The sequence below is a fragment of the Homo sapiens genome, chromosome 5 (assembly GCF_000001405.40).
Source record: "Homo sapiens chromosome 5, GRCh38.p14 Primary Assembly".
Classification (NCBI taxonomy): domain Eukaryota; kingdom Metazoa; phylum Chordata; class Mammalia; order Primates; family Hominidae; genus Homo; species Homo sapiens.
This window is the reverse complement of record NC_000005.10, coordinates 142,846,302-142,873,341: the sequence shown is the minus strand read 5'-3', so window position 1 is coordinate 142,873,341 and position 27,040 is coordinate 142,846,302. Positions and strand designations below refer to the sequence as shown.

The following is a 27,040-nucleotide window of genomic DNA, read 5'->3' as shown; positions in this document are numbered from 1 at the left end:
TTGCTGCCCTTATTGGTCCTTCTAGGAATATCTTAGGAGGCGGATTTGTTCCTGAGTCCATTTCAAAGCACAAAAGAATATAAATTCAAAATAGTCAACACTTGGTTACAATATGAAGCACTGATTTGTTCTAGAAGTTAATATTTTTGTTATATTGGCTTTAACAATTTAAGTTCTATCTCTACTTTCTAAAGGCAACTTGTCATCTCCGTTTGACATGTGGGAATCCACTTGCCAAAGGAAGTCGGGGAGAAAGCTTGGATCAGAGCCAACATTAGTGTCCACAGCCTGCAGGTCTGCTCTGCCACTGACCCTCCACACAGTCAGTGCAGTTTCCCCCACAAGTCTGACTCAACAGTAATTTCCCCTAGGTCCTACTCACAACACAAACTTTCACTAGGGAGGGAGCCTGGAGAAGGCTGGAAGGAGGGGCTGGGAACTGCCCTGCCCATAGCACCTGGCCTTCCTCTTCTGACTCAAGCACAGGCGAGGCCCAGGTTCTCACAACCCTCTCCACTCTCCTCATGAGCAGAGTGGACCACCAGCCTGACAAAGCTCACCTGAATTTTCCTGGCTGGCCACATCCAACACCACCAGGAGAACAAAGCCCCGGCAACATTTTGTATTAGGGTAAAAACACATGCCACACGCAGTATCCATAAGAAAAACTCTCAAGAGCCCTTATCATTAAAAAGTCATCATCATAAACTTTCACTGAAGATAGTAATGAAAGCCAGTGATCCTTCCGGAGTCTTCAACATCTCTTAAGGGTATGAAACCACCAAGGTACCTTTAAGTGGACTGGCAGATCTGGCTGCTGAGGACAAATGTGCTTAACTTAATTCCATGTGCAGTCTTCCTGCAGATTAGGCTAATCATTCAAATTACCCTCATACATGGTTCCCTCATTGAAGGGGAAATGGCATTATGTCCAAATGCCCAAGGGAGGGAAACATGAGGCAGAACCAGCAACAAGGCCTGGCTTTAATAAGATATGGGTGGTGGGGGGGTGTACTGTGGCTGCACAGATCAACATAAGCTACTAGAATAAAAGCATCCGTGACTCCCAGTACTTTTTCTTAGCTCCCAGATTTGTCCCCTGAGGTTAGGGATCGTGTTTTCCACCTTTCTGTTTGTTTTGGTTTGTTTCCTCTGTGTACCTGGCAGTGCATCCTGCTCAGTGTATGCTGAATAAATGTGGGGGGCGGTGGGAGTGGGGGCACTGGATACAAATCCAATCCCCAGTGCTCCTTCCAAGCAATGGCTGCTAGTGGAAGAGCTGGGCGTGGGCTGTGCTGCTGTTCTCAGGACCAGGGCTCAAGCTACTGCATGGACAGCAGCTGCAGCTCCTGCTCCTGGACTGCCCTCCCACACGCTGTGATGACACGGTCCCGAGATAGCTGCGGTTTGTCCAAAGCGCTCTGCTCTACACCAAAAGAAGGCACTTGGGGTGGAGAAGGGGAACACAGGAGCCAACAGTCTCCGATCTCTCCCTCGTTCAGTCACTTTCACAGAATGGTCCTTACCAAAATGTCAAAAGATGTTGGCAGGGGACTCAGGCATCTGACAAAAATGGCCAGCCCAGGCTGAGGCTATCCCTCAGAACACAAATCACAAAAGGCAAGCCAGGAAGGAAACAGATGCACCCAAAAGCCAGAACACCGTGGGCAGGAAGGCAGGAGGAGGCTACAGGTAGACACAAGAAAAAAGGGAAAGAATAATATTTTAGAGTGGAAGACAATGTTCTGTTAGAGCCTCCAAATGTGTGTGCATCAAATGTGGGTGTGGTTATACACATTCCCATTTTAGTCAGAATGTTCCCTGATGAGAACGCACAAAGTCTGCACTAAGAGTAACACAGGTTTGCCTTTCTACCCACCCGACAATCCTGTGCCTCCCCCATAAGCAAGAGAAACTCAATCATCTCAACAAAGTGGAAACAGGTGAAATGCAAGCCAGGCTCGGGAAAGCTCCCAGCACACACCTGAAAAGCCGCACTGCCAAGGGCAGCTGCCAGGAGGATCAGGGAGTGGCTGGTCATGCACAACGGGGCCTTTGTGAGGCTTCTGCACAGGGGCACCCATTGAACCAGGGCAGGGCCTGTTAGCTTATGACCAGCAGGTGACCTGATTTCCTTGTCCACTGGCACAGAGCACACCCTGCCACAGTGCAAGCCTGAGAAGCAGTGAGGACCCCATGAAGCTGAAGGACAGGCCGATCCCCCGATAGACGATTAGGTAATGACTGCTGGTATGGAGTCAGTATTGGGCTTCAAGCCAATGAGGAAAGCTGGGTAGAGCGAGAATCCTGATGAATGGACCTGAAAAAGGAACTCACCTCAGGCTTGATAGAGGAATTTTTCAGTACAGCTAAAGTGGACACCTGTCCTTTTACTTGTTTGGAATCCATTCCCCAGACTTTGGGACAGCATCTCAAGCTTGTTTTGGAGAACCTCCCTTCTCCACTTGCATTCTATGGGGTGATGGTGACAGGGTGATCAACCCCAACCCCTTGCCCCCACCCCAATCCCACAGCTCCTGGGTTCAAGTTCCAGCTCCAACATAGATCAGATATGTAACCAACCCTGGGTTAGTCATAAAGTCTCAGTTATCTCATCTGACGGAGGCTGTCAGCCCGTGGGTTAGGCAGGGAGGATCCAGTGAGAAACACTGTATAGGCACTCTGCACATCACAAGACTCAGTTCTAGGTATAGCTGGGCTATTCTTTCCTCATATATGAATCCTCCAGTAAGAGGAACCAGGAAAGGTAAGCATGAATAACTGTTTGGAGCTCGGAGAAGTTAAAGGACTGACCTAAGAGTGCAAGGCCACTAAGGAGAGGACCTGTGACTTAAGTCCTGTGAACTGAGATCCTTGTAGTATGTGGGAACACCATACCACTTCACCCCATTAAGGTAAACCCTCTATGTTACTTGAGAGATTGAAAACAACACTAAAAAGAGAACTCTCTACCTAAAAACCATTGCTTCTTGCCAATTTCAATCCAGTAAGATTGGTGGTATCTTATGTAGATTTTCACCTTGGATATGGAGCAGCCCAAAGATTTATTTCAAGAGCTTTCCCTCTGATGCACACAGGAATCTAACACACACATTCCAATAAGAGGAGAGAGAAAAGAGAAGAGGCTGGCACTGGTGCTGGGTGCATGCCAAGCGTCGTGGCACCCTCCTCATATAACCCTGCTGTTTCATGTGCAGGCAGTGCAAGACACAGCAAGGAGCCAAGCAGAGTCAATAATATTTACTTTGCAGAAACATCTGTTGCTAGAAAAGCAGAATGCTGGCCAGAGTGGAGGGAAGTCATAACTGCCGGCATCTGGGGAGGCCAAGTATCTGCTTTCCAGAGTAGGTAGGGCTGTGCTTCTCTGAGTGAGGGGACCAGATGGCTAAGAAATATGGAAGCAGCTAGAAGTTTGGGCCTTGAGAGACTGCTCCCAGAGCCACCTGCTCACTCAGGGACTAGAGGAAGTGCCCTTCTTTTCTTGGAGATGCCAGCAGATATTAATCTGCACCGGATTTAAGAGAATTTAACCCAAATAGATCCAACTTTCACTAACACAGAAGGTTTACCATAATTTTTTAAAAATTAGAATCTACCTTAATTTTATACAAGTTGTACCAGTAATACCACAAGTCAAGCCATTTCCTTTTTCTCCTTGGGTAAAACTTAACATACATGTGCACACACAAACATGGACTCAGGTAACCTTACTACTGTATTTTCAGTGCATCTATTGCCTTTGTGACCTCCAAAGTTACCAAAATTGTGTATTAACTACCCTTGAAATGTTTTGCTGCTCAGTCACATCTTTCCCTTTGGACTTAGAAAGTGATTACAGTTCCGGGAGGCCAAGGCGGGTGGATCATGAGGTCAGGAGTTCGAGACCAGTCTGGCCAACATAGTGAAACCTCATCTCTACTAAAAATACAAAAAAAAATAAAATAAAATAGCCGGGTGTACTGGTGTGCACCTGTAATCCCAGCTACTCAGGGAGGCTGAGGCAGGAGAATCGCGTGAACCCGGGAGGCTGAGGCTGCAGTGAGCCGAGGTTGCACCATTGCACTCCAGCCTAGGCGACAGTGTGAGACGCTGTCTCAAAAAAAAAAAAAAAAGAAAAAAGAAAAAGAAAAAGAAAAGAAAAGAAAGTGATTACAGCTCAGAAAGGCCATCATTGAGGTTAGAACTTGCAACAGGATTGGCCTCATGGCTGCCTAAAGTTCAAGAATACCAAAGTCCCCGGGCCTTGTTAATCTCTTCCTTTCCTGGACGCCAGTTACTCTCTGTGCCTCATCACCTTGTATTTGGAATAATTCTGGAACTAGTCATGAATGGCTTCATGTCACAATGCACAAAGAGTGCCTCGGACAGGGCTGGACACAGTGTCCCTCCAAACCTGTTGTACGATGTGAGCGGGCAAGGAAACACAAGCTGGCTTACAGGTGGAATACCTGAGAGTCTCCAGAGAGGACCCATGACAGACAGCTGAGACATGGATGGACACGAGCCCCAGAGAGACTTCAGGTTTAGCCCACACCCCCATTCCTAGGTCAAACTCAACACACTCAAAACAAAACTCTCTCTACTCAAACACCCTCTGCCACCCTCTCCCCAGAGAGCCAGCCGAGGGCCTCTTCCTGCATCCCCAGTGTAACGAAGGGCACCACCATTCACCCTGCCGCACAAGTCACCAGTACATGTCATCCTCTCACACAGCAGGCTCCCTCATGTGCCATGTCCATTCCCAAGTCTCCTAAGCACATCTCAATTCTGCCCACTCCTTCCCATCACTATCAGCAACCCCTAAACAAAACACCTCCATTTGCCCAGATAACTGCAACTGCTCCTCTCTGGCCTCCCCACATCCACTTTTGTCCGTCAAATCAGTTCTCCACCCAGTTGTGTCAATACCAGCAGTGAGCCCTGTGATGGCTTCCCAGAGCTCTGGAGGTGAAGACGAAAGTCCCTCCCAAGGCCTGAGAGGCCCTGCAGGGTCTGGCCTCCCCACACCCCTCTCTGGGCTCCAGCTGCTCCAGCCTCTGCCAGTTCCCGGGGCATGCCCAACTCCTACCTGCCACCACATGCCACCTCTGCCTGCAGCCCTTGGCCCAAAAGTTCTTTCCTCCAGGAAGCCTTCCCTGACTTCTCTAATCAGGCCAAACCCAACCCTATTTCTCACTCTCTGAGTACTATACTATAGATCTTTTCTTCAGAGCAATTTTATATTTGTTCAGGTAATTCTTCTCTTCAAGTAATGCCTCCCCAACTAGTACATTCTATAAGGATGAGGATCATATCCCTTCATGCTCACCACTCTATCCCCAAAGCCCAACACTCTACTGCTTGACTGAGAGCAGGTATTGCAGAAAGAACAAAGAGAGAGGAAGTTGGGCACTCCATAAGTCCATTAGCCTTCATCAGAGGTGAACCTCCCAACTCAATGTTTGACATGTGAAAAAAAAAGCAGGTAAGTTAGGACAAACTCTCCAACTTATGTAAGTCTGGCTAGAGCCTGATATATATGTGGGAATGTGCTTCCTATTAGCATGTGACCACCTCCCTTCATGTTGTCCATTGAGGAAGAGTCCCACAGAGCTGGAGGGAGAGCTACCACCAGCAGGAGCATAAAATAAAACCTCACCTATACCAAGGAAGCTGGAGAAATGAGCTACATACAACCCAACTGCTGGCCACAACCAACTGTCCTCTCTTAGCCCCAGCACAAGCCCCAGGTTGCAGTTAAAATGGTTTAAGGAAGAGTCCCCAGAGATCGCTCTTTTCTTTCTCCCCGTATCTGGGAAAACTGAGAACATATCCAATCAGAAACTGTGCTTGGAGAGAGGCATTTCCAACGACTCCCCATTTCCCCAAGTCTGTATGTAGCAGTTTAAACCTAGTTCGATGTGCTTCATTATAAGAAAAGCAAGTTACAGTCCCTTGTAAATACCATTCTGCAGCCCAGACTCCTGGCATTGTACTAGCAAAAACAAACAAAACACACACACACACACACACACACACACACACACACACACCCTGTGCAAATCTTAGAATGAAACAAAATTCTCCATAGCATTTTTCTCGTTTCCGTGACACACGGTCTTACCTGTGGCCACTAGGTGGCAATCAACTATATCAGAGAACACCTTGACCAAGCAGCTAATTTAAACAACAGCTAAGACTCAAGGAGAAATGACAGGGCCAGCCTTAAAGGCAGTGCTGAGAACAGATCCTGTCCCACTGAGGAACAAATAACCACCTAGAAATGTCCAGTGGACACTCAGCAACTGAGAGAGGGGCCCTGGCTTCCACATTGGAAGAAGTGCTCTAACACATTCGGAGGGCCTGTGCTCTCATACAGCAAGTCAAGCCTGAGACATGGAGTGGGAGGGGTATAGGGATGAAGTCACCACCACAGTGTCTCTCACATTCTTTCAGATCTGGCTGGAGCAGATTCAGAAAACCTCTTATCTCCCCCAGGCGGATGATGTGCCCACCGACCACATCAGCCACGGTACGTTACATAACATGCATTCTGATCATACATCTGCGTGCTTTTCCTGAGGCCATTTCCCTAAAACAGCATTTCCTAAATGAGGCCATCACCAGCACTGATTCTGGAAAATTTGTTTTTCCAACCAGAGCACTAAGGCTAATGAAATTTTCAGAGTTGATTTTTAAAATGAAATCAAGTAGAATAAAGACGTGCTCCTCTTTCCAAAATGAGGTTTCTAATTCTATTTAGATGAAATACCCCTTAAAAATAATTTGGGCTACCCAAACTCACCTTAATCTACATCCAAATAACTATGAATATATTATATACATTAACTTACTGAATACTGTACCTACCAAGTACTTTAAATCCCTCCATCCTCACAACCATTCTGTTGAGTAGATATTATTACCTCCATTTTGCAGATGGGAAACTGAGGCTCAGAGAGGTTAAATAACGTGCCCAAGATCATGCAGGGAATGAGTGGTAATGTAAGAAACTTGGTCTCTCTGACTCCAAAACTCTTAACTACTACACTATATTGCCTCATTTACTCAAATATTTGAGAATCTGGTATCAATGTATTCAAAGAAATGAAAAGATGGTATGTATACATTCCGTGCCTTAAGGGGAATACAATTTTTAGAAGGGCCTAATCTGTGTGTGCAAAACTACAAAATTAAGGTAGACTGTGCTAGGGCAATCAGAGAGTAGACAAAAATGGCTACAGAAATGCAAGTGGGATATTATTCCGGCTAGGGCCATTGGAGGGGGCTTCCAAAAAAAAAAAAAGAAAAAAGAAAAAGAACAGGGAGTAGCGTTTGAGCTGAACCTTAAAGTTCAGTCCTATTTGGATATGTAGAAAAGGGAAGCGGAAGCAGTCATGGGAAGATGCTATAGAAGTGGAAACATGGAGCAAGGAGATGCGAAATGCAGAACCTACCCAGAAAAAGCAGCAAGTTTAACTAGATGGACAGGAGGTCAGAGTGGGAAGACCGGTTAGAATCAAACCATGGAAGGACCTGTATGCCAAGCTAAGGAATTTGAACTTACTCCCTTAAAGAAATGGGAACTGGATTGTTATACAGAGGAGCAACAAGATCAACTTAAACAACAATTAAGCCTTTTACTAAGGAGCTGGCCCAGAACTTTGTTGGAGACACCTACTGTAACTCCTCCAGCAAGCTTCACTATGAGAATGTGCAACCACAGCCAAGGGGCATTCTCCCTGTAGGTAACTAAATGACAGGCAACACCTCTCAACTTGGACATTTGTGCACAGACCATTGGTCAGCCAGGAGATAAGGAAAGAGTTATAAGGGATTCAAAAAAAAAAAAAAAAAAAAAAACTTCTCCGTGTTGAAAACTCCAAGTTCTGGGCCCACTACGACTTATACATAACTGTATGCAAATAATGTATACAAATACATATGTATTTCCAAAGTGCTGTATTGGCTTTTCCTCATAAGAACATTGAGAGTTAAGTGAAAGCACCTGACCTCTTCTAGATGAAGAAATTAAGGACTGGCTTAATGACAGTGCAAGTCACATAGTAGGTGCTTAATAAACATTTACTGGATCAATGACCGCTGTGTCAAGTGAGTTAGTCAGCATTGGATCTCCGATGAAAACTCAACCCCTAAAGAGCCCAGCCCCAGCTCAGCCCTGGCACAGAGAACTGAGGTACTGTATTTAGAACAACTGCATTCACATGCTGCCCCAAGACATGATAAGACAGCAGAAGGTCACCACAGGAAAAACTCCCTCAAGGAAGACTGTGGACATTTCTTAATGAAAACAAAGAAACCCATTTTGAGAGGGACTAATCAAGTGAGGGAACAAAAAAGAGAGGGTAATTCCAGGCAGCTCAAGTACAAATATCACACACACACGGGGCAAGGGGAAGGTAATTCAGAGGCGTATGACGCGCATTGGCTGCGCAAACATCAGCTTAAATCCCGGTCTCTCACTTCCCAGCTGTGTGGCCTTTGGCAAATTACCCAACCTTTCCAAGCATGTATGTAACTGTGAGGACAGTATGTACCTCACAGGGCTGTTGTGGGAATTCAAAATAGGAAAGACACATGTTCTGGAAGAGAGAGGACAGGGATGCCCCCGGCCCTGCCTTGCTTTCCTTCCCACAGCAGAGGTGGAGTGGAAGTTTACCAGCAGGTTGGAGAAAGGAGAATCAACCAAAGGAGAATCTTAATTACCATAACAATTAAGCAATTTTTGCCTCATTGAGTCACCAGATCAACCCCATTCTTGTGAACTACTAAAAACACACCTGAGTTCCTAAGGGTTTTCTTCAGTGCTCAGAAAACCCCTAATGCTTCTACAAATTTACAATTTCCTTTCACCTCTGGCAGATGAAAGGCAAGGCAAAACCCGGATGGACCATTTTTTAACTAAACCAATTTTTAACTAAACGAACTCAAAGCAGTATGGGTTTCTTTTTGTGAAGTTTATTAAGCTCAAGTCGTGCCTTTTAAATGCACCGGGGAAACAGTGCTATCATCAAATCCTTTCTGTCCACTGCCTGGGGAGGCAGGCCAGCCCCAGATGAAACAGATAAAAGAATGAGTGTGTTAAGACGACATTTAAGACACAAGAGACTGACAGCGTTCACAGGCCTGAAGTACTGGGCTTCCTCAGAAGGTGGAACTTGAGCTTGGCCCCTAAGGTAGACACGTTTCTAGAAAGGGGAGGGGGTGGTGAATTAAGAGGAGACCACACAAGTCAGACCCACTCACTGGGTCAGACTAGGGCTGGAAAAACCGGTAGGGGCTGGTGGGTGGAGATAGAGGGAGATAGAGGTCTAAGAATGGTGGGGAGGGGCAGGTGGAGCAGGGATTCCTCTCTCTCAACACCTCAGCAGTTCTGTTCTGCTCAACACCAAGCAGGTGCGCAGATAGGAGGCAGTGGGGCTGGGAGGGTTGATCCTGGCTTGAGCCTCAAGACTTAGATTTTGTTTCTGGAATGCCTTTTCCTCTGCAGCAGAGACAGCTACTCAAGCTTTAAGGTGCACCCAATCACCTGGGATCTTGTCAAAATTCCCATGTGATCCAGCAGGCCTGGGAGCCCGAGAGTCTACATTTCTAATTCCCAGGTGAAGCCAATGGTGCTGATCCAGGCACCACACCCTCCAAGGCAAGGGTTTGGACTCCCACTCAAGACCCTGACAGAGAAGATCACAGCTTCTTTATTCTCCTAGCACGTGCCTGGAACATACAGGACCTCAATATATATTGGAGGAATGAATGAATAAATTCCTTGAGAGAACTTAAGCTGTTGCAGACAGAATAGAAAAGAACCCAGAAAAAGAACCAGAAATGGCGTGTCTCCTTGTGCAGCCACCAACTATACATGTGAACCTAGGGAGAGTTATGTGACACACTCGGCCTTAAAAGAACTCACTTGAGGCCGGGCGCAGTGGCTCACGCCTGTAATCCCAGCACTCTGGGAGGCCGAGGTGGGCGGATCACGAGGTCAGGAGTTCAAGACCAGCCTGGCCAACACAGTGAAACCCTGTCTCTGGCTAATACAAAAATTAGCTGGGCTTGGTGGTGGGCACCTGTAATCACAGCTACTCGGGAGGCTGAGGCAGGAGAATCGCTTGAACCCAGGAGGCGGGGCTTGCAGTGAGCCGAGATCGTGCCATAGCACTCCAGCCTGTGTGACAGAGCAAGACTCCTTCTCAAAAAGAAAAAAAAAAAAAAAACCTCACTTGAAAACCAAGGAGCCAACCCCTTTCCGTAGCTCTAAGATCCCTCCCAAAGTATCTTTTCTGTGCCTTTTATTTTTAATGGTGAGGTTATATACTGGATATTCCTACAGCAAGGCACACCTCTATGTCATTCTCAAAGAGCAGTTTCCAAAAATCCAATTGAGAGAACACAGACTCTGTTAGTCTCAGCAAATAACCATAGCAACTAATACTCCCCAAATGAAATGATGTCTTCACAATGATGTGCTGGCTCAATTAGATTAAGAGGGTGACGTGTACCATCTGAAAATTTATCGTCGTAAACTTACAGTGAAAGCCAGACCTTCTTGGAAGAGGTTTATAAGTAAAAGAAAGGCCTTGCCAATAAATGGAATTCAGGACAAAGAGCCAGAGAAGTCAAGCAGATGAGGAAATTGGGAAGGACTGCTCTGCCTCTCCAGGTTCACACAGTCAGGGCCCACGCACCCAGACAGAACCCAGAACTTGGTTAAACAGTTAGAAATCTGAGTACCACCACTTCTACCAGGGAGTTATCAAAAGACTGCCATTTTATCCTTGTTCTATGCCTTTCTTCATACATATTACAAAAGGAAAATACTGCTACCTCAGAAAAGTCTGCAGAAATATTTACCAAAATAATTGTAAAACTTTTAAATGAAAAAGAGGACAACTTCAAAATAACAAATTAGGGCTGATAATACATTTCCAGCCAAATTAATTTCTCCACAGGTCATCACAGGATGCAAATCTTTCTGTTACAAGGTTTTCTGACTGGAGTTAGAACTGTGAATGGAAAACTCAACGTCTATAAGTTCTACAACTTACTGTCTTTCCACATCCTTAGGCCTGCCTCTTCCAGGGTCCATGCAATCACATTTGCCCTGAACAAATTTGGGCAAGCAAGAACCTCACTTGAAAAGCAGGAAAAGAGAAGCCAAGGCCTGTCACCTCCCTGTAATCCCTGAGCTTTCTAGCTTTCTCTAGCAAAGAACAAAAAGAAAAAAAGGAACAACAAACAAGCCAACCCATAACCAAGCCCAAAGAATCAGAGTTTCACTGGCATTCAACAGTTGTGAATTCGGAAAGTCACAGACGGCAGAACCTGGAGCCATACACAAGGATCAGAAACCCCTGCACTGTTCCTACCAACAGCTAACGTGAATTTGAGGGCAATCAAGAGAAAAACAAGGTATGGTGGGTAAATCGAGGCCTTCATCCAGCCAAATAAGCTTAGATTTGTGGTTAACAGACTCCCAGCGTTCAAAATCCCATCTCACCCATTTACAAGGTACTCAATTTCCACCTGTGTGAAAAGGCACTAAAGGGAAACCTGCCTCCTGAGGCTCCTGTGAGAAGAGAGATGATGCACTGAAGTGCTTAGCACAGGGCCTGGCCGGCAGCAAACACTCAATAAACCATAGGTATTAGAATCATTTACATATATATTTAATAAATAACATGCCAGGCTGATTTGTTTCTGCGTAAAAATGAAAGGACAATGAAGCCACCCGGCCCCTACCACTTTGACTCCCTCTCGCCCTCCTCACCGTCAGTCCACACAGCATAATTAGGATCAAAACTGAATCCACCTGATCCCTGGACACAGCTCAGACACTCCTTGCCACTAATACCACAGGAAGCAAGGTGGCAACTCCTAAGCATCAGAATAAATTCAGTTAAAAAACAAAAATCCGCTCATCTCCCCCTGGATGAAATTCATGTTTCTGGAAGAAAAAAGAAAAAAAAAAAACGGACCTAGCCATTCTGAACAAAGCCACACCTAATAACATTCCCAGAAATTGGTTTCACTTTCTTTTATCCCCTCTTTAATTAGTCACTTTTCTGCTATACCTCAGGGGAGGCTGTGCTCCAGGGACCAAGAACGGAAGCCTGAGTGGGCAAACACTTACCCTCCTCATAGGTGCCCACGAAATCCCCAGGCTCCCCGCCTCCCCACTCTGCACCGTCTCCTCTCCAGCCTGGATTCCAGTCCAGGCAGGAACTCATGCTCCAGCAAGGAGTACCCCTTGCCACTGCAGACCACCACAGAATGAGAGAGGCCAAAGATAAGTGTTTCTCAAAACGTGTCTGAACACCGCTTGCAATAGGTGTTGCAAGAGCCCTTCCAGGGAGCCCACCCTCAATCAAAATCTCTAGGGCTGAGGCCTAGGAGCCTGGGCTTCCCAGGCAGTTCTTATCCATGCTGAAGTTTGAGAGCTGATACCACCTAACCCTTCAGAACATCTAATACTAAGTACCAGTAATGGAACCCCTCCAGATGACAAAGGTGGAGCTCCACAGAGCAAGCCGGATCTTCTAAATCATGACAGTGGGTTTACAAATGTTCCCAAAGCAGGCAATTAATGCTCGTGGTAGAAGAAAGCTAGGTGACAGCAGGGGTGGGAGGAGGAAACATCCTAATTCAATTTAAAAATCACAAATTCTGAAGCCTGAGTCTTCTTCAAAACATGTTCTCAATCATGTCTCCTTATTCTGAAGCCTACACAACTGACTGGGAACACATCTTTGTTTTGTAGAAACCCAGCTCATGGCACCTGGAGCTGATGAATGGCCCTGGTGCTGACTGCCCAGAAACCAATCCGGAAACCAGGCTTCCCACAGAAGAGGCAGCTGGAGAGCCAAGCACTCTTGGACTACAGTCCTAGGCTGGAGCTGCCAATACAGGCTCTGCCCAGCTAATCTTCTCTGAGCCTGCAAATATTAAACCTGACATACAGACTCAAGTGAATCCAGAAAACAGGCTCACAGGGCAGCTGAAAATTCCAAGTGCCTAAGGTATAGGCAGGGCGGCTTCATGGGCATTCAACCAGTACAGATGCACAGGGTCCCATGCTCAGAAGGGCCTGCTTGGCTTAATGCTCTGCTGTAGCTGTCTTGAAATTTTTAATAATTTTATCTTTGAACTTGTGTTTTGCAAGTGAGATCCAGTGCGACAGTGGAGCATGTGTGCGCAGAGGAGACAGGAACAACAACCGGGATGTCATGCGGGCGCACTGGGGCTCCTTGTGGCCCCAGTGCACAGAATTCTGGTGGACCCACCATGTGTGGGAGCTCAGTGAGACTCAAAGTAAGTGCAAGGTAAGTGTCTTATATCTACGACTGAGTAAGGGGGAACGCTGACAGCCCTGAGGGGTTACACCTACCATTTCAACCAGAACTTGCCAGATGCAAGAAGATGACAATGAGACAATGGCATCCAAAGAAACATGAACGGCCCAGGAACCCTATCATAGCCTTCTTCCTCATGTTATTTCCCTGGATAAGCCAACCACTGACACTGATCATGGTAACCTAGGACAGAGACAGACTGGGCAACCCATAGTTCCTTTCCTTTCAGGCCCTCCTCACACATCGTACGCTGAAGGTGGAGCACACTGGGAAAATGTGCATGCATCAAGAAGAAAAATGAAAACTGATTTTGTGCAACATTTCCACTGTTCTTGGAAGAATGAAATAAATGCATATGAGCTATGAAATATGGATTGTATAATTCTAGTGATTCTGCATATAAGTCAGATGATCTTATTGAAAATTGGCATTGTACAATATAAAGATGAACAGAAGAGTTCATACTAATAATTTAAAATTTTAATTCTTCCTTTTTAGAAGAACATGGGCAGATTAAAAATACCACCACACATCAGGAAAGAAACCAGAAAAGAAAGAAAACAGCTTTCTATTTTAATGCTTTTAACAGTACTTATGTCTGCTTTTTGAAAAGGAGCCCCACAGATTAAGTACCCAGTCCTGGGCACGGGAATACCCTGGGATTGCTTTACAACCTCAATTAGCTCTCCTCTCCTCCAACTGGTACCCTGAGAAAGACTTGGGTCCATGCCACCATCATCTCTGGCCTGGACTCCTAATTGGCCTCCCCGCTTCCCTCCTGATGCTTCCCAGTCCATTTGTCACTCAGCTGCCCAGAACAACCTATTCAAAAGGCAGACCTGATCTTGTTGATGGTCCCTTCCATACCCTCCCTGATTATAACTCTTCCCACCCCACTCAAAATAAATCCAACCAAGGTCTACAAAATCTACCTCGTCTGCACACCCCACTGGCCTTGCCCTCACTCCATACCCAGCCCCACTGGCCAACTTGCAGATAATCAAAGGTGCCGCAATCCATCCGGCCACAAAGCCTAGCACTTGTCCTGTGCCCTCTTTCTGAAACACTCCCCTGTCTCCCCACCTAGTTACTGCCCCTTAGCCCATTAGATTCTCCATGAAGGGTCACTTCCTCAGGGAAGCAGTCTCCTCGCATTCCCTATCCACCCCAGGGGTACACTCTCATAGCTCCCCAGAATTCCCTTTCTTATCCCTTCAATTGGTAATCTCTTTGAGTGTGGTGACTGTTTAATGTGAACAGCTCCGATGACATTATAAACCCCAGGCAGGCAGTAGCCGTGACTGTTTTGTTCATAAAAGGATAGTCATCACAATTCTAGCACGCCAGAAGCCCCCAATAATGTTTCTAAATAAATAAATAAGCAAGCAAATAAGAATGTAACCTTTTTTAAGAGTTCGGTCAGAAGAATGATAAACCCTGCAATCCCCTTTTTCTAAAAAGGGAATGTTAAGTCCCAGAAATGTAGACAAAACAGCCATCCCATTACTCACTCCTTCACGACACACAAAACAATCAGAACACCATTTCCTAGGCTTAGTCTTGAAGCCATAAAACACCCATTTCCATTCCCCACTCACTTTCTTCCTTAGCCAACAAGATGCCTATAATGTTTTCAAGGTACCACTGATATTATTTTAAAACCACTTTGCCACTAGGCAAATGATAAAAGAAGAATTTGCATGTGTGTATCTAAACAGTGTATCTAGGCCAGAATTTTAAATAAACTAGTGACAAACCGTGCCAATTAACATCAGGTAAATACAAAAACCATCCCTTCTAATACATCAGGTATATCACTTGAGGGAAAGCATGCCTGCAACACACACACACACACACTCCCTCTCTCTCTCTCTCTCACACACACACACACACACACACACACACACACAGATTCTCTCTCTCTCTCTCATTCCTTCTCTCTCCCTCTCCCTCTCTCTTTGGAGACGTGTTTCTTGATTTGGCTTTTGAATTTCACCTGAATCCAACTGCCCCAGACTTATGGGATCAGAAATTCTGGAAAATACATCTGAAAGTATGCCTTTTTAAAATAAACTCTCCGGATGATTCCTATGCACAATAAGTTTAAAAACCACTGTTACAGAAAGACACTGCAGGTAATATTTAAATACCAGAGAAATGGAAGAAGCTAATAGCACTAAACCTGAGCAAGCAGAGAAACAAGAAAGAAAAGGAAAGTGATGTCCCGAAGACCCGGAAAGTCCCTGGCAACACACCTCCAAGAAAGCAGCAGGAAACTGTTCCCAGAGGAGAGAAGAACCGTGGAAAAACCCTAAGCCATTGTTTGCTAGGGTCATTAATTATTTTAGCTATTTATTCACAGACACTTCCTCCTATATCAAGGTGCTCCTAGGACAGTGAGAAAGAAACCCTGACATGCTTCCCTTGCTGCAGGAGGGACGAGGTGACCCTGAGCCAGAGGCATGCATGAGCAGGGCCACCTCTCTCAGTCACACAGCTTCTCTTGGGCACCTGAGAAGAACCTTGTACCCAGGAGCCCTCAGCAGAGACAGGAATCCTAGCAGCTGCTGGCCCACCCTCCCCCAAGCAGCCTCACTGTGCCCATCAACCCAGGAATCTTGAAGAATGAAAAGACTTGGAGGAAGCCTCCTAGCACAGGTCCACCCACTTCAATATCCCCTCCTGTAGTGGATAGTACCCTCAAAATTGATGTCTACCCGGAACCTCAGAATGTGACTTTATTTGGAAATGGGGTCTTTGTAGATGTAACTAGTTAAAATGAGGTCATATAGGACTAGGACGGGTCCTAAATCCAATGACTAGTGTCCTTGTAAGAAGAAGTGAGGACACACACACACACCCAGGGAAGAAGGCCCTGTGAAGATGGAGGGAGAAACTGAAGTGACACAGCTACATGCCAAGGAACACCAAGGAAAGCCAGGAAGAGGCCAGGAATGATTCTTCCCTAGAGCCTTCCAAAAGAATATGGCCCTGTTGACACTCTGATTTCAGATTTCTGGCCTCCAGAACTGTGAGAAAACACATTTCTGTTGTTTTATGCCACCCAGTTCATGGTACAGTTGTCCCTCGGGATCCATGGGGACTAGTTCCAGGACTCCCCACAGATAACAAAATCCATGGATGCTCAAGTATCTGATATAAAATGGCATAGTATTTGCATATAACCTACAAACATCCTTCTGTATACTTTAAATCATCTCTAGATTACTTACAATACCTAATACAATGTAAATGCTATGTAAATCGTTGTTATACTGTATTGCTTGAGAGTAGAAAAAAGAAAAAAAAGTCTGTACATGTTCAGTACTGATGCAATAAATATTCTCCATCCGCAGTTGACTGAACTCATGGATGCAGAACCCACAGATATAGAGGCCTGGCTGTAATTTGTGATGTCAGCCTAAAGAGGCTAATACACCTCCCTCCTTAGGGAGCCTGGGCCTTAAAGTCATATTGTTACCAAAACCTAGGGGTTCTGCCACAACGAAAAAAGGAAACCTTGCTCTTTCAACACTGTGGGTGGTCTGTTCAGCCTCACTTCAGAGTCACCCTCCCACTGGCCAAACAGCGATCTTCCAAGATAGGTGTCCTCAGATCAGCACCCTCATACATCCTCCTTGGCCCGAAAGGCCTCTCCCACCCTGACCAACACAACCAACCGACTGCCACCTGGCCCTCCAGGAACCTCTTTCAAGGTGTGGCTTCACGCACATGGCCCAGGCTGGCCCCCACTGTGTGCCCACAGCTCCTGGGTTTCTCCCAACACTTTTCACACTTGCTCAGTATGGGCAGCTCCAAGAAGACAGGGACCAGGTCAGTCTCGTACACCACCCACAGCCCAGTGCTCACTTCAGCTTTGTCCACAGGAGCAAACAGATGGCGAACACAATAACATAAAGAGACGTCCCTCACTCTTCATTACTTGGTCCAGAAATGAGGTCTGTCTGCTGTGTGACTTCTCACAGCCGCGATTATACACCTCTTAAAGGAGTAGACTATGCCATAAAGACCACTCATTTATTGTTATTCATTCAAAAATCTATGTATTGTGGACCTACATTCCTGGTAATAAGTCACTGGAGAGACAACAGTAAGTAAAAAGTAGACAGGCTGTGCCTTCATGGCATTACAAGTGAGAGTATATAAGTCAGTCATTAGTAGCCTCACATCCAAACCAGAAAACAATAAAACAATCTTGCTCATGAGCCTGTCTTCCCAGCTAAATTATTTCCTACTCAGGGTACCCAGGGCCGAGAACAGTGCCTGACACATAATAGGCAACCAATAATGCTGGATGGACAGAAGATGAAGACACTGAGGATGGATAGAAGGAAGGAATAGTGTCTAGTACATAACGGGCAGCCAGCAGGATAGATGGACACACAGATGGTTGGACAGAGAGATGCATGGATATAGGCCTAGTGCATAACAGGCAGTCAATAATGATGGGCAGATGGAAGGGTGGATGGATATCTAGGGAGCAAAGCACCTGGGATGAAATGTGCACAAAGCACAACTCAAAAGTGCAAAAGATACGAGAGCCTCCTTAAGTGGCACCTCTAAAACCTCCACTTCATTTCATCTCAGACCAACCAGCAGCCTCCTAGTATCTGAAAAAAACAATAACCCTAAATGCATCTGGTATTCGACCTCCTCTGTAAACATTTAGTAGAAAAACAGCTTCACAAACACAAATATGCTCTCTGTCTTCCCACCCCTGCCCTTTCTTTCTGTAATGGGGGTTTTAAAAGGCTGTTTTGCCAGTCTTTCTCCACCACTGAGAGCATTTATGTTCTAAAACGGTGACTTCACTCTTGCCAAAATGCAAACCACACACCGCTGCCAGGTTGTATCATTTTTAATTATTATTTTTGTGATTCTTCTTTTATCTAGTGCCTTAAGAGAGACTTTTCTCTGAGGGACCCAGAGCTGACTCTAAACACTTTACTGTCATATATGATGTGGAGGCAAGGGAAGGATACCACAAGCTGAAGGAGAACAAAAGGGACTGGGGGGTCCTTTGAACAGCACATCCAGTTAAAGCCCCTTCCATGGGAGCGTAGAGTAGAGAAACAGTTTGCAATGAAACAAAAATACAAAGTCCCAACATCAACATTTAACCTCCTACAAAGCAGCTGGGTCTCAGAATGACAGCTGTCTCACAATACCCCAACATGCCTCATCTTTGGGTCTGGCTTAAGCCATGTTAGATTCCCTGCATTTCCAGGGTCTACTCGGTCTCATATCAGTAACGAAGTTAAAGTAATTCAGATCCTAGGAGACCTTTCTTCCCTTTCATTTTCCTTTGCTGAAGGTAAGAATAACTTTTAATCTCCAAGAACAAGTCAAGTTTCCTTTGCTTCCAACTCAGGGCCATATATTATAACAGTGTCATATATTTATTCTGGCAATAGGCTCACCCATTCATCCTTTAACTCTTCATTGAGCACCTCCTATTTCAGGGACTGTGGGAGGCATGGAGAATAAGACACTGAACAAAACTGACATAGTCCTTACGTTCCCCAAACCTACAACCTACTGGAGACAGACACTCAACAAATACACACTATAAACACTGAAAATTTCAGTGGCAAGAATGTAAAACTGCAGATGCAAGCTAGAAAAGAATATGGTGGAGAGGAACAAAGCAGATTCCCATTACCTTCCTTATGAGGCAGGGAGCCATATTCAAGGCAAAGGTGGAAGTGGTTTATCAGCAACAGAGAAATAAAACACTTTAGAGACAGGCATTAAGAATTCTCCCAATATTGTGGTGGTGGCTTCATGAATGTATACAGGTAACAGAGTTTATCAAAGTGTGCCATTAAACACATGCAGTTTTTTGTGTGACAAGCTTTTAAAAACATAATAATTTCCCCAATATTTTGCTACTCATTTATGATCTCTCAAGATCTCCAGGATGATGAAGGTTCTTGTAGTCATAAACTAACAAAACTGACTTAGCTACAGGAAACACACCACCCTGCCACATTGTTGTTCTTGGCCTGCTCACAGCTTCATTCGTTCCTTCAACAAGTAATTATTAAACATTTACTAAGGGCTAGTACTGTCCATTAGTGTTTCCCATTACACTACAAACAGAAACACGCATAACCCAACTCTCTGGAAGCTTGTAGCCTCCTGCCAGTGTGGACTCAAGTGGAAAAGGTAAGTGCTGCCTACACACTGAGAAGGACCTACAGCATCTGAGAACGTGGAGTCAAGGCTACTCTGAGGGATTTTCAACATCATGATAGACAACGATTTGTTGAAAGCTTACTCTGTGCTAGCCCCCAAGTGCTTTCAAAGATATTATTCATTCAACTCTCCCCAAATCCCTACAAGGTAGATACTATTGTTTAAATCCCTTTTACAAAAGGGAAAATTGCCAGTAAGTGATAGAACCAAGGTGAAAACCCAGAAGCCTGACTCTAGAACCCTCAATACAAAATCTAAGCTAGGCTGGGCATAGTGGCTCACGTCTATAATCCTAGCACGTTGGGAGGCCAAGGCAGGTGGATCACTTGAGGTCAGGAGTTTGAGACCAGCCCGGCCAACATGGTGAAACCTCATCTCTATTAAAAATACAAAAATTAGCTGGATGTGGTGACACATGCCTGCAGTCCCCGCTACTTGGGAGGCAGAGGTAGGGGTAGGGGGATCACTTGAGCCCAGGAGGCGGAGGTTGCAGTGAGCCAAGATGGTAACAGTGCACTCCAGCCTAGGCGACAAAAGAAGACCCTGTCTCAAAAAATAATAATAAAATTAAAAAATAAAATCTAAGCTACCATAAAGATAAGTTCTCACCAATCACCCCAGAAACCCACTTCAGAGTCTAAGTACTTCTTCTGGGCCAAACTGAGAATCAGCTGACACTGCTCTCTGCTGAGTAGACTCTCTGGCCTCCCCTCATCAGTACTTCCTCCACCTTTGGAGCTCGATAAAGGCAAGCTTGAGAAATGAGGGAGGTCAAAGGTTTCAAAGCAGCAGGCCTCTGCAAAAGAGAGACTCTGATATCTCTGTGCCAAAGGAGAGGCTCAATGTCATGGTGCTTCAACAGGACATGCAGAGACAGCAGCTCGAATCCCTGACTGCAGGCAGAGCGACACACAAGGCTTCTACATGGTAAACTCTGTTTTGTTGGTCTTTTAGAACGTAAGTAAGTCACCAACTTACTGAGTGAGATCATGTTATCATGATGACAGAGTTCCAGGGAAACACAGACCTCCTCTGGATCAAAGAACCTTCCCATTGTCTCCTTCCAAGACACTCGACCAAATCATGGAAAACCAATTCAACTGCTGGCAGTCCACAGGCAGCAAGCAGCCAAAATGCATCAACATGCGAGAATGCATGTGAGATGTGAACAGAAATCCCGACTGTTACAAGCCATAGGCATCCATATTAATAGCACGAATGCTATAATTAGTCATTTAGGGAAAAATAAAATAAATCTGCTCCAAGACAGTCTCCCTGAATTTTGTAAGAGTTAGAAGGATGGTTTTAAGATTGCTGATCCTGCCATGCTGACTTGCTTTCCCAAGAATGCCTTTGACCTTAGCCAGCACTAGTAAAGAACTCAGCAATGCCTGTGAGGAGGGCCAATTCCATGTCCCCAGAGGACAATGAGGTCCCCTCAACAATACTCACTAACATATGTGAGCATCCCACAACACTGCAAAGGCTGAATGACTCCCACCTGAGATCTGTCCCTTCTAAACTACCTCTGACCGCTCAGAGGCCCTGCAGGCCAAACTACCTCTCTGATGCTTTGCCGGCGGCTGCATACCTCACTCTTTCTTTTCTCTTTAACATTCCTCTGCACAGCATTACTTGCCTCTTCACAGAAAACCTATCCAACCCTCTAGAACAAGTGCTTATCATTATTTTATCAAGTTCCGGAAGGAGCGAGACTGTCAGCAAACCCAAACTATTGCTAGAGGACAGCTGAATTTCTGGTCAACATGAATCATCTTTCCAAGACTGGGGAGGGACTGTGTGCCTATGTAGAGTGAACCCTGGAAATAGCCAGACTCCATGAATAACCTGCTATGACCTCAGGCAAGTCTCTGGACCTCTGTATGACAAAGTGTGAAATTAATAGGCAGAAATAAAGTCAACCTGACAAAGATGAGGGAGAAGAGAAGGCCATGCCGAAAGAGCACCAGGTGCACAAGACCATGTGGCTGGAGAAAACACAGCAACTAAAGGCCAGCACGTGGGAGAAAGGGCAGGGGTGGTGAGACCAGTGTAAAACGGGAGGGAGGGGGCGGCCACATAGGGCCTAAAGGATTATAACCAATTCTGCACAGCTGCCAGGGAGACACCAGTTCCATCAGTGATCCATAAATAGTTGGGAGTTACCTTCTGATTATGAGGTAAAACTCAGTTCTTGTGCATGAGCCTATGAGGGGCAAAATGCCAAGCTGTTCATAATAAAACAACTGAACTGAACTACTAAAATTACAATCTCAAGCCTGGATATGGTAGAATAATGTTTGCTAACAAGCTAATGCCTGATGTTATCTTAGCTAATGTCAAAAATGTATTTTCCGGCTGGGCGCAGCGGCTCACGCCTGTAATCCCAGCACTTTGGGAGGCCGAGGCAGGCAGGTTACCTGAGGTCAGGAGTTCAAGACCAGCCTGGCCAACATGGAAAAACCCCGTCTCTACTAAAAATACAAAAATTAGCCGGGCATGGTGGCACACATCTGTAATCCCAACTACTCGGGAGGCTGAGGCAGAAAAATCGCTTTAACTCGTGAGGCAGAGCTTGCAGTGAGCCGAGATCATGCACTGCACTCCAGCCTGGGCAACAGAGTGAGACTCTGTCTCAGGAAAAAAAAAAAAAAAATGTATTTTCCATGGGAACAAAAATACAAAATCCACTCATCTGTGAAACAATTAAATTATTTCATCATTAAATCCATCCTGATTAATCTGTAGTGTAAACTATTCGTGTCTCAGAGGTGATACAAAAATCTTCCTGTGGCCTGGTTGACACTGCATATCGAGCTTATCCACCACTCTAATGCTAGACATTTGCACAGTAGAAGCATTGGCTATACCAGTGATTCTCTTAAAATCCTTTCTCTTTAAAGTCCTTTCAGATCCATTGGCTATCCAGCTAATAGCTATTCCTTATTTGCTACATATGAGGCACAGGGCTCTGCATAATACAAAACTAAAATGTATGCAGACTGAAGAAGTTAGCAGCCTAATGAGAAGGGAGGAGGTAGAAATAGGACTAATAGAGGACCTACTATGTGTCTGACATTGACTTATACCATCTCCTTCAATCCTCCCAAGAGCTCAATCAGGAAGGCATCATTATACCTATTTTACGGAGAGACTGAGGCTCAGAGATATTAAGAAACTTTTCCACCTTATATAGCTAATAACTTCGAAAGTTTGTATGCAAGTATAGGTCTGACTCCTAATTTACTCTTAACAACTCTACCATGCTTCAAAAATACAGAATGTTGTTTTTTTGTGTGTTTTGTTGTTGTTGTTGTTGTTTTTAATGCTGGTTGCAAGAAAAAGAAAAAGCAGTAAGCACCATAGAGAGAGAGAGAGAGCATCTGTAATAAGAATTCAGTCAGAGGAGAAACTGCCCCCACTGAAAGGATGATGTTCCTCTAAGGAAGGAGGAGTTAAACTGGTCACAAAGGAATTGACCAAGGAGAGATGGGGAGAATAACCCCTATGGGAAGAGGGGACAATTTAAACAAAAGCACAGAGGCAGGACACTGGGCTGCACACACGGGAAATAGTAGGGCCAAAAGAAGGGGACAAGCCATAGGCAGAGCAGGAGAGGTAGGCAGAGCTCTGAAGAGGCCTAGGGAACACAATGAGGGCATGAGGCTGCAGGAGGCAGCAGAGCAGAGTCTCTGTCTCCACAGAGGAAGGGAAGGAAAGATCCAAGTGAGGTGGCTCTGGCTGGGGCCTAGTTTAGAGGTAGCCAGGGTCTGAACCAGCAGTGGTTGGCGTGGTGAGAAGAGTGTGTGCAGAAGAACACCCGTGGGGTTTGGGGACTAACTGGGTGAAACAAATCATCACATGTGGGTCCAGAGGTTGTGCCTGGATGACGGGGACAGCAACAGCATTTTTAACAGAAACAGGGAGCATGGGAGGTGAAGCAGACTGGAGGAAAGAGGACAGAAACACGGCAGGATTGAGGCACCAGCAATGCATACAGATTAGAGATGCCAGCAGACATCAAGAAACTAAAGAACTGGAGAGGGGCTGGGGCTGCCAGAGGGAAGTCTAGGAGTCATGTTCATGTGGGTGGTGGCAGAAGCTAGGGACTGGAGAGATTAGTGACAAAGAGAGGCAGACCTTCTGGTTGGGGAGGAGAAGCCCACAAGGAAGGGAACCTTGAGAAGATCCACAGGACAAAGAAGGTGAGCAAGGAAGGGACGTTCAGAAGGGGATGAATGAAGCATGGAGAGCACACTGTCAATGGAGGAGGAGAGAATTTCAACACAGAGAAGGAATGTTAGCAAAATCTCACGGCGGCTGTTTGAAAGTATGCACACCTTCTCAAGCACCATTTGTCTTTTTAAAAGAAAAGCCAAATACAAATGGAAATGCTCTGGGAGGGGAGAGATAAGAGGTGTGCCTCCCCTGCTCTGAAGTCTTGGGTCTTTTTGGTGTGAGAACCTGTCTTACCCAAGAGTGAGAACACAAGAGTCCACACCTACTTCACAATGAAAACCTACTGGAATTGCTTTAGCTAGTGAAAATTATCCTGAGATGGTTTCAATCTTTCAAATCATTTGTCAAAACTGCTGACCTTGACTCCCATCCCTTTATGCCCTTCTAAAGTGTTGTTTGTGGCTCAGAGAAGAGGGTAATAAACACATTTGATAAAAAATCAAGTTAGAGTTGGGCATGGTATCACCATGGAACCAATAAACAACATGGAAGAGACTTCCAGTAAATTTCAGATCATTACCTCTAGTTTAAAACCAATTTAGTGCAAAGATAACCAATTGCTCCTGAGATCTCTAACACACCCATGTTTGTCCTCTGACAGTCATTACTTAGTAGGGCCAAGAAACCAAGTAGGCGGGAAAGAAAGAGCTGCCTGGCCCATAAATCGGATGCCCACTGGTTAATTCCCACAAGCCATGGCTAGGTTACATAGTGAGGGAGCAGGCCCCTGTCTTAAGGAACTTCCAATTTTGTAGACTGCTACAGGAAAACCTAACATATAAAAACCATGCAAAGAATCATATACAGAATTAGGGTACAGATGTTCAAAACTAATGCCATCCTTTGCCTCACTAAGGACTCATTATAAGCAAAATTCTTTCACACTGTGCTCACCTCGGCAGCTTCCACGCCACCTACACAACTATGATGTTCACACAGCCTTACTCTAACACATATGTTAGACAAAGTGAGGAGCGCCTGCACTCAGCTGATGTGCCAAGGCTGGAGAACCACCTATGGTGAGAATCTGACCACAGAAAACAAGGAAGAACTGGAAGGGAGTAAAGGAGGAAAATGGGACTGGGAAAACCACAGGGCCACACACGCTATTCACTTCAAACAAGCTTTTGTTTGGTTCAAGGTTCTGTGGTCTTAAATTTAAAAGACCCCGGGGAGTGATGGCCACCCAGTCCTGTAATCTCCTATTACCATAAGCAATGTTGACCAAACAGCTCAGAGAGTATCAGATTCACTGTCCAGATAAAACCAAAACTAGTGTCTAGAGCAACTTACAGTTTAATACCAGGCGGCTGAGAGAGCTAGCCTTTTGCAATACAAATGAAAGAATTCCACGTCTCACTGTGGGCAGAAATCAACTTCTCCAACTGAAGTTCAAAATTCCTTTCTCCCAGATCACTCCCCTTCACCAACTAAAGCTTGCCACCTTCAGACACTGCCATTCAATTGGATTGAACAACTGTGTGTGGAGCCCCTCCCAGGTGGTAGGCACTCTTCTAGGACAGAACTAACCCAGCCCAGCCCCTGCCCTCATGGGCTTACACAGCCCCACCTCTGCTCTGAATCAGGATGCCTGAGCTCACACACAACCCAATTCTCAACCCTGAGTATCTTCCCTGATGTTCACTCCACCAGCAATGTTGCACTTCCCCACCTCCAGGTGTCCAGATGGGCCAAACCTCCAAATGCCATCTCATCCATGGAGTCCTCCCAGGCCCACGCCAGTCCACCTGCAGCACTGCCCACCACCCATACAACACAGGTGCTGCTTCTCTCCCTTGAGCCTCTTCGTGGCACTCTATTTGTGCCACCTAATGGCAGTTAAGACATCATCATCCTGGCCGGGCACGGTGGCTCACGCCTATAATCCCAGCACTTTGGGAGGCCGAGGTGGGCGGATCACCTGAGGTCCGGAGTTTGAGACCAGCCTGACCAACATGGAGAAACCCCGTCTCTACTAAAAATACAAAATTAGCCAGGCATGGTGGCGCATGCCTGTAATCCCAGCTACTCCGGAGGCTGAAGCAGGAGAATGGCTTGAACCCGGGAGGCAGAGGTTGCTGTGAGCCGAGATCGCGCCATTGCACTCCAGCCCGGGCAACAAGAGCAAAACTCCGTCTCAAAAAAAAAAAAGACATCTCCATCCTTTGCTGTATTCGCTGTGTGACCTAAGCTGAGGCAGCTTCCCCAAGGCTCAGGTTCTGTATATTGAAAACAAGGAGATAACAGTACCTAATAATAGTAATTTTAAAAATAGCCACCTTTTATTGAGATCTTACTGTGTATCAGAGAAATGCTGTGAAATTTACAAACATTGTTTCATTTGACTCTCAAAATCCCATGAGACAGGCACTGTTATCCCCGTTTCACAGATGAGAAAACAGAAGGTGAGAGAGGCACAGTGATTTGCCCAAGGTGCACCGAGAGCAAGCAACAGAGCTGAGATTCTCACTCTGGCAGCCCCACATGGGGCCCTTCATGAATCACCCCCCGCTACCCATTTTTTCACAGACCCCTTCTTAGGTTTCCTACCCACCTCATAAGGTTGTTCTGAGATAAGACGTGAAAAGTCCTTAGCACACCGAGTGGTTCTGGATCTCACTGTCCCCCCATGGTATCCTCCTTTAAGGGAGAGTTATTCACATACATGTATGCTTTAAGCATACTAATCAATACATATTGAATTAATGAATGAAGAAAGAGAAAACAAGACTAAAGGACATCTGCCAAACTACTCAAATAAGATACCAAAGTGTCTTACAAGTGGTTACTCAACATCCTATATATAGATTCTCACAGGACAGCACAAAATGTAAGTCTCTTTTGCTCCCAAATGTCTATGAGATGCAGTCTTCATTCTGGGGTATAAAGGGGAAGTGGCAGGGGTGGTCACAGCAGAGGAGTGAGCAGGAATGACATAGCACATCCTAGAAGCAGCAGGCCCAGTTCTGCAGCCCTTACTAAGATAAAATCCCCACTGAAGGGAAATCCCATCCAAATCCTCTTTGCCAGAGAGGAGAAGAAGGTCAAACAGACTAATCCTCAAAAAGACCTGAAATTCTGGCTCACCTGGGCCACACCAAAAGACATTCCCCTGGGAGCAAGAGACAGGCACGAAAGGTGGCATGCCCCACCCTCCCACCTATGCACTGGTGACTCCTCCTCACCCGACACATATACCTCGGCACCCCTCT

General features: G+C 45.7%; 1 protein-coding gene and 1 long non-coding RNA gene across 41 annotated transcripts in view, besides 4 other annotated features; one reads left to right on the top strand and one right to left on the bottom strand.

Moving 5' to 3' along the window:
• The window catches only part of ARHGAP26 (Rho GTPase activating protein 26), a 458,635-nt gene that overhangs the window by 355,670 nt on the left and 75,925 nt on the right, over positions 1–27,040 (bottom strand). The window lies entirely within an intron of this gene.
• Positions 4,432–13,738, top strand: ARHGAP26-AS1 (ARHGAP26 antisense RNA 1). Its single transcript, NR_046680.1, has 6 exons — positions 4,432–4,542; positions 5,253–5,485; positions 6,457–6,532; positions 12,779–13,037; positions 13,181–13,340; positions 13,600–13,738. It is a non-coding gene; the product is annotated as an ARHGAP26 antisense RNA 1 (long non-coding RNA).
• Positions 6,024–6,318: a silencer, noted in NCBI's record as "tiled region #7053; HepG2 Repressive DNase unmatched - State 8:EnhW". NCBI's record gives its function as "represses a minimal TATA promoter and a strong SV40 promoter by Sharpr-MPRA in HepG2 cells {active_cell/tissue: HepG2}" and the evidence as "EXISTENCE:reporter gene assay evidence [ECO:0000049][PMID:27701403]".
• Positions 8,693–9,309: an enhancer, noted in NCBI's record as "NANOG-H3K27ac-H3K4me1 hESC enhancer chr5:142243598-142244214 (GRCh37/hg19 assembly coordinates)". NCBI's record gives its function as "activates a minimal SCP1, AML or CMV promoter by ChIP-STARR-seq in primed H9 embryonic stem cells {active_cell/tissue: H9 hESC(primed)}" and the evidence as "EXISTENCE:reporter gene assay evidence [ECO:0000049][PMID:30033119]".
• Positions 9,310–9,926: an enhancer, noted in NCBI's record as "H3K27ac-H3K4me1 hESC enhancer chr5:142242981-142243597 (GRCh37/hg19 assembly coordinates)". NCBI's record gives its function as "activates a minimal SCP1, AML or CMV promoter by ChIP-STARR-seq in primed H9 embryonic stem cells {active_cell/tissue: H9 hESC(primed)}" and the evidence as "EXISTENCE:reporter gene assay evidence [ECO:0000049][PMID:30033119]".
• Positions 9,927–10,543: an enhancer, noted in NCBI's record as "H3K4me1 hESC enhancer chr5:142242364-142242980 (GRCh37/hg19 assembly coordinates)". NCBI's record gives its function as "activates a minimal SCP1, AML or CMV promoter by ChIP-STARR-seq in naive and primed H9 embryonic stem cells {active_cell/tissue: H9 hESC(naive and primed)}" and the evidence as "EXISTENCE:reporter gene assay evidence [ECO:0000049][PMID:30033119]".